This window comes from Homo sapiens, chromosome 21 (genome assembly GCF_000001405.40).
Source record: "Homo sapiens chromosome 21, GRCh38.p14 Primary Assembly".
In the NCBI taxonomy this organism is placed as follows: Eukaryota; Metazoa; Chordata; class Mammalia; order Primates; family Hominidae; genus Homo; species Homo sapiens.
In genome coordinates, this window is record NC_000021.9 from 34640236 (window position 1) to 34655378 (window position 15143).

Sequence of the window (15143 nt, forward strand, 5' to 3'; positions counted from 1 at the left end):
TTCATTCCTCTTGATGGCTAAACAATGTTCCATCGCATGTGCATACTACATTTTGTTATCCATTTAACTGTTAATGGACACTGGGGTTGTTTTTACCTTTTGGCTATCGTGAATAATGTTGTCACAGACGTTGGTGTGAAAATACTGGTTTGAGTTTCACTTTCAGTTCTTTTGGATATATACTCAGAATTAGAGTTGCTGAGTCATAGGATAATTCTATGTTTAATTTTTTGACGAACCACCAAACTTTTCTACAGCAGTTGCACTGTTTAATATTCTATTTTATTTTTCTTTTCTTAAGCAAAAAAGGGAATATGTTGGGCTCATGTAACAGAAAAGTTTGGGGTGGAACCAATATAGCTTGCTTCAGGAGTCTCTTAATCTCTCTGATCTCTCTCCATCTCGTCCCTGCCCCCTCCCACTGCATGCCTTTCTCAGGCTCCACGTGGTGACGAGATGGTTGCAGCAGCTCACACAACCTGTTCTATTCAAGTTCATGTCCATTGACTCTGTGAGATCATTGGAGAAACTTTAGGGTTCTGGCTTACTAGAAGGGTGACTAGATTCTGGATGGCAAAGAGGACAGTTGTCCCCTACACCTTTCCCACTCCTTTAAATTTCCCCCACCTCAGGACAGCTTCAGCCTCTCCAGCCCAGCTCCATGTCCATAAACCTTCTGGTGTTCAGGAACTCAACTTCTCCATCACTTTTAATTCTTCCTTCTTGCTTGAACTGCACATCCAATCAGTTCCACTGCCCTGCCAATTCTTGCTTTGAAAATAGTTTTTCCTCTGAGTCACTTCCATGGAAAGCATTCATGATTCAGGTCCGCGTAAAGTGGTTACTACAAGTGCCTCAGATGCTGGCAGTGATAATGCATCCTGGGAGGTCTACACTGGTAAAATCGTCACCTAACAGGGGGACGGGCTGTCTGTAGAAGTCTCTAAGATGGGTTGGTCCCTTTGAGGCTGGAAATTAAAAAAAAATAAAATTTAAAAAAAAGTTTTCCTGTATTAGGCTGACTTGTCCCAGAGGCAGCAACAGGCACAGCCCAGACCCAGGAAAGGTCCTAATAATGTTATCTAATGTGCTCTGAAGACTCTCCCAGCACTCCCTCAACATAGAAAAAAAAATTTCCTTTGTTTTATGAAATGAGTTTGTAGGTTCCTCTTCTCTGTAACTAGTGACTTCAAGTATTCTGTTTTCTCTAAGAAGTACAACAAAGGTCATAAGAAGCTTGAGTAGGCCCAAACTACAGCTGCCTGGGCACCATAGTAAAGGTTATAGGATAAGCCCATGCCCAGGCAAAACTAGATAACGGACATCTGGGTTGCTTGGCAACGGTCATGTGCAATCCTGTCTTTGTCCTGCCTCAGTATCCCTGCTTTCATGCCACTGTAAGCTTACTTCAAGCTAGCCCACCCCCTTTTGTAAAGTGTGTATAAAAGTCAGGTGCTGTCTTTGTTCTGGGCCCAGTCTTTTGGACGTTGAGTCAGCTGGGCCCGAGTACACTCAGTAAAAACTCTCCTGTTTCAACCTGAGGTCTCTCTCGTCCTCCTGAATCCTGCACCACCTTCTCCAGATTAATGTAAGCTTGGTCTTAGGAAGTCTCAGTGGACCTACTGAACTTAGGAGAAACCTGTGGCTTAGGCAATATTTAGAACAGCTGAAGAAAGATCAAGGGAACAGCATGGAGTCTAGAATTTTTTTAAAAAGGGAGAAGGTCAGAAAGTGTTGGACACAGCATCTCAGCACCCAGGGCCATTGAGGCTGGCACTGTGTTTTCTGACTTCTCTCATAATCGATGATAAATGCCTCTTTGTACCCCTAGTCCATGTTTTCCAAGAAACCTACTGATTATGAATTGACTTCCCAGATACCTGGATGGCAGAAAAGCAGTGCCTTGGGTGGTAGCCTAGAGTGCCCCGGGATCTGTTACAAAAGTCCATTGCTCAGATCATTAGTAGAGAGGAAAAGGCACCTTGAAGGGCTTGAGAGCAGGTGCAGGGCTCACAGTAAAGCATGGTCCCCACCCACAAGGCAAAGCTTCAGGATGTGAACCCAGACTCATCAGTCACCCACCTGCTGCCTAGTCATGTGTGATGCCTTTGGGGCAGGCTTCCTTCCCTTAATGTGCAGATTCAAGTCCCCACCTGCCTTTGGTCATGTTGTGATTCCTCACAATGTCCAAAGGTCTCAAATCTTTGGCTTGAATGGGCTCACTTCAAAGACCTACAGAGCTGAGCTTGGTATTGAAGCCACAGAATCAAAAGTTTTTGTATCTCAGTTGCAAGACCTGTGAGGCAGAGGTGGTCACTAGAGCCACAGCACGCTAGTGGAACACCAGCCCTGGGACTTTCTCTGTTCTCGCTCACTCCCTCACTTTTCACTTTCTTTAGCCATGGCTGGCTGACAGTGCGTGCAACTTCCAGTCCCTAGGGAACCAAGAAGGAGTGCTCAAACCTACAGCCTCCTGGGTTGGTTCCCAGCTAGGAGAGAGCACCAGCGGCAAGTCCTGCCTGGCTCTGGGTGCTGGGTGCCACCATCACATGTGCCATGGGTGATGGGTGTGGTTGGCTGTGAATGGAAATGCACGTGGTGGAATGATCCCAGGACTCAGCCCTATAGCAGAGACCAGTCTGCACACTTCCTGCCCATGGTGTGGCTGAATGATAGGGAGACAACCACAGTGACCACAGGAATGACTATTACGCCTGGCAATTTATTCAGATATCAGTGAGAGCATTGGATGTCTCTCTAGATGCACGTTAGAGGGTTCAGGCCTATTTTAGTTTATTTTTGAGACTGGGTCCAGTTATGTTGCCCAGGCTGGTCTTGAACTTTTGGGCTCAAGAGATCCTCAGCCTCCTGAGCTGGGATTACATGTGTGCACCACCGCATCTGGCTGGGTTTTTTGTCACAAAAATTGTAGCAAAAGAATTGTACCTATGTTCATTTATTTTACCTTCCAAGTCCTTTTTCCATTACCATTTATGATCTTATAAAATGCCCCCTAGTGAACAAGCCTGGCTGCTAATTTATACCCTTTCCTCTGAAGAGCCCCTCTACGGTAGAAGAGTATTAATGACACTTGCAGGGAAGCATGATGTTGCCATGATATGAATAGCTGGATGTTGCCTTTGGGGGTCAGAACCTAGAGATGATGCTCAGAGTAGACTGCCACTGAGGGACTCAGGGATCCAGGAACAGCCTAGGAAAGAAGAAGACAACAGGAAACTCTAGAATTCTGCTCAGAGACACCATCTCTGCTGTTTTTCTCTGGACTCATTGGAGACCAGAGCTAGAGGTCTCTCATCTCCCTCTTTCCTGGCCTGCGTGTCCCAACACAACGTGTGCTTGCGTGTGTACCCCATCTCACCCTTTTTTACTCTTCTCTCTCTCTTCCTTTTTTCACTTGAAACTGTCCCCTGGAAACCATTCCATAGTGATATAGGGAACAATTACTCACTCATCTCCATTGCGCGCATATATCCTGATTTACTCAACCAGTTTCTAACTTAACCAGTTCCTTATTGACGGACATTTGGTTTGTTTCCTGCCTTTTGCTAATAAAAACAGCACTTCAGTGAGTAGCTTGTGCACATATCTCCTTTGCATTTTTGGCCAGTGTACTTTTGAGAAAGGTTCCTAGGAGTGGGATTGCTGGGTCAAAGAGCAAATGCTTATACAATTTTGCTGGATAACGTCAAACTCCCCTGTATAGTATAATACCACGCAATTCACAGTTTTCATTATATGTTTCTTTCTCTTATGCTGTTAAACCAGAAACTTTATGTTTAACTTATTGGCACAAGATTCCATTAAGAGAAAAATTATATGGACAGACTAAGATTTTAGTTCCCATTACAGGTTTTATTCAATGTATCTGTGAAATGAAGTTGTTTTTTTTTTTTTTTTTTTTTTTTTTTTTTTGAGACGGAGTCTCGCTCTGTCGCCCAGGCTGGAGTGCAGTGGCGGGATCTCGGCTCACTGCAAGCTCCGCCTCCCGGGTTCACGCCATTCTCCTGCCTCAGCCTCCCAAGTAGCTGGGACTACAGGCGCCCGCCACTACGCCCGGCTAATTTTTTGTATTTTTAGTAGAGACGGGGTTTCACCGTTTTAGCTGGGATGGTCTCGATCTCCTGACCTCGTGATCCGCCCGCCTCGGCCTCCCAAAGTGCTGGGATTACAGGCGTGAGCCACCGCGCCCGGCCGAAATGAAGTTTTTATGAGTTCATGAAAACAAGCCAATTTAGCTACTAAGTTACCTCTTACAAAGGGGCCCTAATGCCATAATTTCAGTGTTCACAGCTGGCTATTTCAGCATCGTTAAAACTATTGCACTTTGAAATTATTTCAGTGAAAAAATGCGTGCTGTCCCCAGGGGGAAGAATCCTGGTACTGAAGTGTCCTCTGATGGCATTGCATGTTCCTCAAATCCTAGAGAAATGGAAAACTCCCTCCTGGACAGGGCATTGAATTTCCTCCAGCATGAAGTCCCCTTTTTGCTGATGAATCCCACTTTGCTCCCAAATCTAGGACTCAGGGTTCTGTTTGCCTTACATCACCTCCAAAGGAAGCCGGCTGGCACCAAGGGCCAGCCCCTGGAAACTTGGGAAGCGTTTGATTCCACTTATCTGAGCACAGAAGCAGCATGCCAGCCTGCCTGATACAGTCAGGTGCGTCATGAATTCCAAGGCTGACCCACCAAATCAGGGAGCTTGGGTCCCATGATCTAGGGCTTTTGCCAGCAAGTCAAGGCCTTAAATTCCTGGAGGCTGATCACCTGCCAAAAACCACTTCACAGATGAACGTGTCCTGAAAGGGGGCTTATATACCTTGGATATATGATCCGCCCTCCTGACAAGCCACAGCAGCACTTAAAAAGGCTTGTGAAGGGATGATGCCAGTGGAAGAAAACAGGAACTTTGACCTCCCAGAGCCTATGGATACCAAGAAGGGATCAGATGACTGATTTTTTCAAAAGCTTCCTGGTGGAATAAATGCATTTCACAGGTAAGCCCTGGAACAAAACAAGGCTCACTGAAACGAGTCCATTGTTGGCTTCAGTAAAGTCTAAAGGGAAGGTTGGGCCTTTTTAAAGAAATAGGGTCTACATCAGTTGTGAAAATTTTACAAGAAGCATGTGAAACATGCATGAAGTACAGTGTAGGAGGTATATGAATCAGCCAGAATGGAGTTTTAATAAAGACGCTGCAGATTCATTAAGAAGAGAATTCATTAGAAAAACCCTGAGTTGGCCGGGCGTGGTGGGTCATGCCCGTAATCCCAGCACCTTGGGAGGCCAAGGGGGGCAGATCATGAGGTCAAGAGATCGAGACCATCCTGGCCAACATGGTGAAACTTCGTCTCTACTAAAAATACAAAAATTAGTTGGGTGTGGTGGTGCACACCTGCAATCCCAGCTACCCGGGAGGCTGAGGCAAGAGAATCATTTGAACCCAGAAGGCAGAGGTTGCAGTGAGCCAAGATGGCGCCACTGCACTTCATCCTGATGACGGAGAGAGACTCTGTCTCAAAAAAAAAAAAGAAAAAAAAAACCCAGAGTTTACAAATAAAGGCCAGAAGGGATTAACGTTTGGAAATCTGAATTGCTAATCTCTTTAAAAAAAACATTTTTTCTTTCTTTATTATTATTATTATTTTAAGACAGAATCTCTCACTCTGTCACCCAGGCTGGAGTTCAGTGGTGTGGTCTTGACTCACTGCAAACTCCACCTCCTGGGTTCAAGTGATTCTCCTGCCTGTCTCCTGAGTAGCTGGGATTATAGGCGAGTGCCACCATGCCTCGCTAATTTTTGTATTTTTAGTAGAGACAAGGTTTCACCATTTTGGCCAGGCTGGTCTTGAACTCCTGACCTCAGGTGATCCACCTGTCTTGGCCTCCCAAAGTGCAGGGATTACAGGCGTGAGCCACTTCGCCCGGCTAAAAATAATATTATTTTTGAATTGGTAATCAGTGCACAGGAATCAAAAGTCAAAAACACTCTACAAAAGTATTCACAGAGTTGAATCATTCCCACCCTCACACTTTCCCCTACATAACCATTTAGATCAATTTCTTGTTTACTCTTTCAGTGTTTCTTTAAGTAAATATAAGCAGTTCTTTTTTTGTTATTTTCGCAGCATTGAGCCGCCAGCCAACTCTGGCCAGTGGTGCCCTGTAGCCTTTCTGGGAATGTGGGAAAGGAAAGAAGAGAAAGCCTTGAGCAACACTGGCTGGTCGCATGGTACCAGTAGTACTCCCCCACATGCTGTGACAACCAAAAATGTCTCCAGACATTGGCACATTGCCCCTGGTTGAGAATTGCTGGTGGAAAAAAATCACAGCCCCGCAGTTGGTCAGGCCCTTTTCAGACAACACCCCCCACTCCATTACTCTTTGATGTTGAGCCCAGCACAATTTTCAGGTCCTGGACTCCCAAGGTTGGAGCCTCCACTTTTCAGGAAGCGGTTGCATTCGATTTCAGGAAGCGGTTGCATTAGATTTGTAGAGAGTGGGGGCCAAGGCATCATCCAGGCCACCTTCATCCCCTGGGACTGCTACTGCATCCTCCTAACTCATCTCCTGCGTGTTCTACATGCACAGCGGTCCATACCACCCCACAGTGGGCAGCCCCTTGGGGTGCCTTAATGCTCTTCGGATAAAGCCCAGACTTTCTGATGGGGCTTGTGGGGCCCTTCAAAGTGCAGTCCTTGGCTGGGTGTGTAGCTCATGCCTATAATCCCAATACCTTGGGAGGCTGAGGTGGGAGGATCATTTGAGGCCAGGAGTTCGAGACCAGCGTGGGCAACACAGTGAGACCCCATTTCTACAAATAATAGAAAATAAAAAATTAGCCAAGAGTGGTGGCTTGTGCCTCTAGTCCCAGCTACTCGGGAGGCTAAGGCAGGAAGATTGCTTGAACCCAGGAGTGCAAGACTTTAGTGAGCCATGATTGCACCACTGTACCTCCAACCTGGTCAAGAGAGTGAGACCCTGTCTCTAAAAATGAAAGAAATTTAAAAGGTAAGAACCAAGGGAAGTCCTTGCCTGCCTCTCCAGGCCTCTCAGTTGCCTGCTGTCCCTGTTCACACTTGGCTCCATCCTCACTGAGACAACTTTTTTCCCTGGCATACTCCTTGCTCTGGGTTTTTCCCATGCCCTTTCCTTGCCTGGAATGCCATCTCCCACCTTTTTCCTGGCCAGCAAAACCTCTATTCATCCTTCAGGTGTACCTCAGAGCTGACCAACCCTCCCCACATCTACCTGGCCTGGCCCTGGGTCCCAGTTGGGCACTCCTCCTAAATACTCCTAGATATGCAGAACATTTACTTCCTCATGTTGTCATTGTTTGTCTAATTGTCTGAAGCCCCCCAGGAATGTGGCTGCACAAGGACATAGACTAGATGGCCTTGTGACCCCTGTGTCCCTGGCCCCAGCACAGTGGCTGGCAACCAGCAGGTCCCAGTGCATGACTGCTAAATGCATGCACACATGGCACAATGCTTGCAACCAGGCACATGCTTCCCCAGCCTTAGGAAGGGTTACGTTCATGGGGTTAGGTTCACAGACGCTGGAGCCAGGCTGTCTGGGTACACTCTGCACTGTGGGGCTCTACCACTTCCCGACGGTGTGCCCTTGGGCAAATTGCTTACCTTCTCTATCCCACATCTTTACATCGTTAGCATTTACGTCAAGGATTATATTAATCATATGAGCTAATGTATGTTATGTGTTTATAGTAGTGCCTGGCATATCGTCAGCACCATAAAAGAGTTTGCTGTTCTAGCTTCAAAACTCTTCATAGAACTTACACTCGGTAACAGGATAAGAATTTTGATTTCAGGAGGGATGGCAGGTGATGGGATGATGAAGGGAGGGAGACTGGGCAGATTGGAGGGAGACTGGGCAGATTGGGAGTTCCTCATGTGTAAGAGGAAACCAAGAGCCTGCAATTCTCAAGTATAACATTACGCCCTCAGAGAAGTGGGTGGGAAGATTCCAGAGACTTGCTCATTTTACAAACATTTATGGTAGATTGATTTGGGGTCCAAGAAAGGAGAATGAAACTCTCTTTTTTCCATCCTCTCCTTTCGGCCCTCTCTTCCCAGGACTCACATGAATGAACGTCTCTGGACACCTAATCACCATTTATCAATCTCACTTCTATGAGAAAAACACATTTCAAGTACCTACCCTCCAGCTTGTCAACAAATTCATTAAAAAAGAAGGGAACATCAGTTATATAAAGCCATGGTGTTTTTGCCTTACTATCAAGCTTTTGGATGAAATGGAAAAGTTAAATCCGCCCGGGAGGCATTTCTAACTCTCCACATTTAGCCACGGAATAGTTAGACTAATACCTGAATTCTCCATTTACATTTTCAGCTTGCATTCACAGATCTGGAGTCATAGAGAAATTACTGGTGTGGTGTCAAGTCTAAGTTTTAATGCCTTGAGGGGAAGCAACTTCACAATTCTGAACAAGGTTATCATGAGTGGAGGAGAAACATTCTCCTGGTTCTTGAGCCGGAGTTCATGAGCTCACACTTTGGCAGATCTCATCACTGATCATTTGAGCTCACACAGCTCCAAATACAATGGAAACCACTGGGTTATTTGTCAGCTGTTGAGTTCATTTGGTTGTTTAAACAATGCAATCATGCCAGTGGAGTGGGGGCAGGCAGACAGCAAACACTGGCTCCGTGCAAACCTGTGCTCCGTGCCCCGAACAAGGCAAGGGCAATGTTGGCCTGATGTAAGGGTTCTGCTGGGCACCTGCTGTCTCAGACACCTCGGTTGAACTCCTAGCTCTGCTGCTTTCCAGAGTTATTTGATGCTGCAGAACGTCAGTCTGCTTATCTGTAAAATGGGCATAGTGATTTTAATTACCTCACAGAGGCCTAAAAGGGAGGAGTGATATAATCCACAGGAAGAGCTCAGCATATTAAATAATCATGACCCACTAGCTATGACTGCTACTGTCTCTGGGGGTTCAAGAGCAGACAGTAGAATCATACCAGGGGAGAGACCTGACTAGTATGAGCCCCTTGTTGGGCTTTTGGACTTTGAAACAGGGTGAGGAATGAAGCAGAGAGAGGGATGATAAATTGCTTTGCACAATAAATGAAGAGGGATTTGGGGGTTGCAAGCGGGCAAGCTGAGAGAGGATTCGGGATGACATGGGCAGGGACCAGCCCCCAACCCGCTGCCCATCACTGGCCCCAAACCTTGAGTGAGCATCTCCCATAGCAAGGAGCTGTGGATCCTAGTTTTCCAGGATAGCCTCATGGTTTGCACCTGTGGCCCCAGAGTAATCACTTTCACTTTCAGAAGTGTTTGGGTTTGGCTATAAATTATGTCCTAACTATGTCCAACTGCCTTCTGGGAGGTGGTATGTTAGAAAAACCACAGAAAAGAGGCTGCATTCACCTGGGCTAAGACAAGGAGGAGCGAAGAGAGTAGCAGGTGGAGGTAGGGTTGAGATGGGGCAGATGCAGGTGGTTAGAGCAGAGGGAGCCAGGTGAGACTGAGAGAGAGCTAGAAGATGAGGAATACTCAGGTAACTAGCATATGGATTACATTTAGAGTATTTTAAGATACAATTCACATATATTGAAACACAAAAATTTTATAAGCCCCCAAAGTCCCCTGTCCCTCTTTGTTGGCAATCCTTGTTCCCCGCTTTCTACCCTTGGCCAACCAATGATGGTTTAGACTTGGAAATAGTGTCTTATAAGTGGAATCACATGGTATGCAGCCTTTTGAGTCTGCCTTTTTCTACTTTTCATAAATGCACTTGTAGTTGATCTGTCTTGTTGCAAGTATCTGTAGCTTATTCTTTTTTAATACTGAAACATCTGTTTATCCATTCCCCAGTTCTAAGACTTTTAGGTTGTTTTCATTAATTGTCTTATTTTGGCAAATCAGTTCACCTGTGTAACCTGCAGTCCTCTCAAGAGAAATGTAGGTTTCACGTAATGTACCACAGAGAAACAAATTCTAGTTTAAGGGTTCTTAACTTCATCTGATTTATGAGCCCTTTGCTAGTCTGGGAAACCCTTCTTTGAATAATGTTTTCAATGCAAAAATCAAAATGCATAGGATCTCAAGGGAAGCCAATTATATGGATACATAGTTATCAAATATTAAGAAATATGTGATACAGACACATAAGGTGTTTCTTTATGATTACAATAAATAAGATCAAGAGGCAGGTCTAATAACTACAGAAATTTCCAAGTAGTGATGAGTGTAAATAATATTTTGAGATGACTAACATCTGTAATAAGTTATAAAAAATCTATGATTCTTCTTGGGGACAAAGTCACAAGTACAATTATTATTATTACCTTTTATTTCCTATATTCATAAAGAAAGGAAATGATAAATTTCAGTTTGAGGTTGGTAAACATAAAAATATGATTTTTCCTTATGAACTTTTTGAATTCTGTTTATGTATCTTTTGGGGACTTTGATCATGCCACCTTAGAATTAGATGATCCAGCTCATTTTGTTGCTACAACTTTAGAGGGAAGCGGGGGGACTCCTTTTTGCTGACTCCCATTCTGCAGACATAGAAGTCTTTTCTCTGCAGACTCGCATCTGTGGATTAGTGCATAACCCACCTATTTCAAGCAGCTACATAGTCTCTACTTGTTACTGTGACTCCAGAAACTTCTCAGTTTACAACAGTCTAACAATTATGCCTTCAAATCTGATGCAAGAGAACTTGAACAAAGCCCCCAAAGTCCTCTGATAGGTGAAACGTCCAATCTTATCTCTACTGAGGAGAGCTGCCACCTGAATTTATAGCAGTGTACACTCACTTAAAGCAAAAGTGAAAAAAATACAAAGAAGAGTTTAGCTAGGCATAGAAAAAATGCAATGGGTATTTTGTGAGTTCTGAGTTTCTCTTGAAATGTGAGCCAATTTGATTCTGGGAAAATTCAACTTCCTTGTTTGAAGACAGCTTATGAAATGGCTTTTGAGTTTTATGTATACCAAATGCTTCTGCACTCACCCAACAGGATTTTTTCAGGTGTAATGCATATACATGCACCAGAGAGTTACAGACTAGCAATGCCCTAAAACCACTTACAAGGATAAATAAATATGTCCAAAAAAATCAAATCTTCACAAAATATGGTTATTTTGAAGTATATCTCATCTCCCATTTTCTCACTCCACAAAAAAATCTAGGACCTTCCTCACTTCCTATCACGTGCCCAACTTACTTTTAGACGTACCAAGTTCCATATGGTCAGAATGTACCTAAATTACATTCACTCACCAGAGCTCTCACATGGGGTAACTTCAAATAATTGTCAAAGATTCTCTACAAGAAAAATAGATTCCCACTTGGTCTTAGATGCCTTAAAATTTTTAATGAGTGCAAAGCTTTTATTTCTCAAAGAGAGATAGGATTTAAAGTATCTCTTTTATTTCTCAAAGGGATAGGATTTTTGGGGTGATTGCTCACTGACCTAGGTTCACTTGAAGGTATAGATGTTTGGTCCGTAGAGCAGTATTCCCAAACCTGAAAGAACAGGAGGCATTACTACAGAACCTACAGAACAGACAACAGGGTCCTGCATCTGAGCAACTGGATAAATCATTTCTGAAAATAAGGCCTAGGAATCTTTCATTCAGACACACTTTCCTATCAATTCTGATGCACAGCTGTTTGGGCATCACTGCCTTTGAGCACTAAAAATCTAATGAAAAATATTTTACCTTTGTGTGTTCACAGTGTATGAACTTTGTTCACACAGATTCTTACTTGGTCCCAAATAAACTTGTAAGGTATGTAGGGAAGAGATCACTTTCCAATAGTACAGGTTGGGAAACCAAGAATTAGAGGTGTTATGGGACTCATCCAAAGACATCTAGAGACTGAAAACAAAGAAAAGAGGGAGAAAAAAGTGCTGGTCTGCCCTTGATTTACCTTTTTTTGTGTATGTGTGAGGCAGATCTTTCTCTGCCTTCCAGGCTGGAATGCAGTGGTACAATCTTGGCTCACTGCACTTGAATCCTGGGTTCAAGTGATCCTTCCACCTCAGCCTCCTGAGTAGCTGAGACTACAGGTGCCTGTCACCAAGTCCAGCTAATTTTTGTAAATTTTATAGAGATGAGGTTTTGCCATGTTAACAAGGCTGGTCTCGACCTCCTGGGCTCCAACAATCCTCCCGCCTTGGCCTCCCAAACTGCTGGGATTACAGGCGTGAGTCACCACTGGCTCCTAGGTTTATCTTAAAATTTTGTATAAAGGCAATCCCACATGTTAATAAGAGATTGTTACTAAATGCCACAAGTGTCATCTGTGAAATTCAAGGACTTAAATAAAAAGCGGAGTTGTTAAAAAGCTGTTTTTTATTTACAAATGTAGTCAAGAACCTTCCAAAGAGGTGTTATGCTGGATGGTAAGCAAGTATTTCTTTCTGATTTTTCCTTTGTTGAAAGGAGCTGCCATCTACGACTCAGCAGAGGAAGGGCTGGTTGGCCCTCTTCTGAGGCTATCTTGGGCTCACTGAGAGACAGGCTCACAAATGGGGTTGCCCTAGGGTACTGGGTCAGGATAGAATAGGAGTGTTTTTGTTCTGAGGGTTAAAAAGAAGCTAGCCCACATCTAGGAGTGGCAATGGGGTGTGTTGCTGCTGGACTGTGCCCTAATGTCAGGCTCTTGGGGCCAGCTTGGGCTCCAGGAAGGGCTGGGTGTGTAAACGCATGGAAGGATTCCATGAGAACTGTGATGTGGGGGACACCTGGAGGGAACTGGAGTCAAAGAAAGAGTCATCTCCCCTCTAAGTTTTAGCCTCTGTGGGACTGAGAGCAGGTCTCTCTGTTGAGGGGAGAAGTGTCCCCTGTTTTGAGTATCAGCATTGGGTGGAGGTGGGAAACCAGAGCAGGTTCTCCCTGAGGAAACTCCTGGGGTTCGGGCAAATCAAAAGAAGGGAGACCCAAGAGGAAGATATGCAAATGAGTCCCTGGAAAGGAAAAGGAGGCGGTTGCATTTAATTCTTGACTTTATAGATAGTTCACAAGCTAAGTTTCTAGCTCACCTCCACCTGGGTGTGAATTACAGAAGAACTTGCCAGTAAATACGTATTTGATGGCTGGTTAAGAAATTGCATTGGCTGTGCAAACAATCCTAAAACATCTGGTCAGTTTAGACAGAAAATCAAGTCAACTCAGTCAAAATATTATTCATTCATATAACAGATGATTATTGAGAGCTTCCTATTCACCCAGCACTGACTCAGGTGCTGAGGAAACAGCAGTGAACAAAAGCCAGGTTCCCTGCCATACTGGAGCTTCCTGTCTTGTGAGGGAGACAGTCAACAAATAGAACCCTGAGCAGGATGAAAAGATGGAGAGCGAGCGGAGTGCTTCACATAGTACATCAGGGAGGGCAGCCTTGAGGAGGTGACCTTAGCAAGGGAGCTAGGTGAAGTCATAACGTGAGTTCTGCGGAGACAGGGGTAGAGTGCTCCAGGCAGGAGCTCGTTCAGATTGAGTGCAGCACAGTGATGGGGAAAAATGAGGCAGGAGACAGAGGTCAGAGAGGGGAGGGGAGATGATGCCCAGTTATGGAGACTTTCAGAGCCCCGGGAGATTTTCAGATTTGGTTCTAAGTGTAAATTGAAGCCACTGGAGGATTTCAGCAGAGCAGGGACATTATCCGTTATCCATCCTATTATTACGACAGCTCAGGTTGTTGGGTTGAGAACAGGCCCTAGAGACAAGCATGGAGCAGGGAGAAGAGCTAAGATGCTATTGCAGTGATCCAGGCCACAGATGAAGGTGGTCCAGGCCAGAGATGAAAGTGGACCAGGCCAGAGCTGAAGCTTGGACCACCATTGACAAAGGTGAATCCAGCTCATTCCTTCAGCTGGTGTGTAGACAATAAAGTCCCATGAGGGGTCAGGTGCAGTGACTCATACCTGTAATCCCAGCACTTTGGGAGTCTGAGGTGGGCAGATCACTTGAGGTCAGGAGTTTGAGACCAGCCTGGCCAACATAAGGAAACTCCGTCTCTACTAAAAATACAAAAATTAGCCGGGTGTGGTGGTGTGCACCTGTAATCCCAGCTACTTGGGAGGCTGAGCAGGAGAATTGCTTGAACCTAGGAGGTGGAGGTTGCAGTGAGCCGAATTGCGCCACTGCACTTTGAAGCCTATTCAAAAGAACAAAATTTAGCCCCAGCGTTTGGGAGGCTGGCAGGGGCAGGAGTGAGCCTGCTGGATGGTGCTGTGGCACAGAGAGGCAGGTGGCTTCCCAAAATACGGTTCTACATGGAAATGGAGTGCAAAGTCTTACGTCATGACTGCGAGGAATTATTACTAAGATTGTTATTTTACTCAAGGCCCAAAAGTGATCAAGCTGCCCTAGTCGGAAACATTTTAGAAAATGTTGTATTAAAGAGTCAGTTTTTCACAATTCTTTTGTAACTTAATCCAGTTCAACTTCTGTCCTTTCACTCTGTGGCAACCCCTGTCCCCACTCCAGGACAACAACTACCTCCCAGGGTTGTGAAGAGTGTTAAATCACTTAAAATAAGATCTGATGTGTAAAGAGCCCTCTTTACAGAGGTAAAATGCAAGACATTTTATTTACAGGAGGGAGCTAGATGGAACAATCTTCAAAGTCTTTCAAGATTTAATACTCTAAAAGAGTGTGAGATATTTACTGAGGACTTGCTGTATGGATGGCATGTGCTTGTCTGGCAGACCACATCTGGTTGGCAGGTGAAGGGTGAAAGTTCAAATGCTATCTCTGGGGACAAGGGATCTGGGAACAATCCCAGCACTTGGATGCACAGCTGCTCCCTCTGGTTCGCTTTCTCCCGTCTTTGCATCTATTCATTGCCTTTTCTTCTGTTGGACTCTATTAACAAGGATTCAGCTTCCTGCCATTCCCCTAGAAACCAACTTTAAAGGAAAAAAAAAACAGCTTTAATCTTGTTTTTGGCAATCACGCTTGAAACAGAGAAATGAAAAATAATTAAAATCCTAATTTAAACTGCAGTAAAGGGAATATGAAGAGAATAAATGTGCTATGTAAATTTCTTTCTTTCTTGTCTTTTTTTTTTTTTTTTTTTTTTTTGAGGTGGAGTTTCACTTTGTTGCCCAGGCTGGAG

General features: G+C 44.6%; 5 annotated features.

Moving 5' to 3' along the window:
• Positions 24-223: an enhancer, noted in NCBI's record as "active region_18396". NCBI's record gives its function as "activates an Ori minimal core promoter by ATAC-STARR-seq in GM12878 lymphoblastoid cells {active_cell/tissue: GM12878}" and the evidence as "EXISTENCE:reporter gene assay evidence [ECO:0000049][PMID:35858748]".
• Positions 254-363: an enhancer, noted in NCBI's record as "active region_18397". NCBI's record gives its function as "activates an Ori minimal core promoter by ATAC-STARR-seq in GM12878 lymphoblastoid cells {active_cell/tissue: GM12878}" and the evidence as "EXISTENCE:reporter gene assay evidence [ECO:0000049][PMID:35858748]".
• Positions 2092-2141: an enhancer, noted in NCBI's record as "active region_18398". NCBI's record gives its function as "activates an Ori minimal core promoter by ATAC-STARR-seq in GM12878 lymphoblastoid cells {active_cell/tissue: GM12878}" and the evidence as "EXISTENCE:reporter gene assay evidence [ECO:0000049][PMID:35858748]".
• Positions 2152-2201: an enhancer, noted in NCBI's record as "active region_18399". NCBI's record gives its function as "activates an Ori minimal core promoter by ATAC-STARR-seq in GM12878 lymphoblastoid cells {active_cell/tissue: GM12878}" and the evidence as "EXISTENCE:reporter gene assay evidence [ECO:0000049][PMID:35858748]".
• Positions 2462-2581: an enhancer, noted in NCBI's record as "active region_18400". NCBI's record gives its function as "activates an Ori minimal core promoter by ATAC-STARR-seq in GM12878 lymphoblastoid cells {active_cell/tissue: GM12878}" and the evidence as "EXISTENCE:reporter gene assay evidence [ECO:0000049][PMID:35858748]".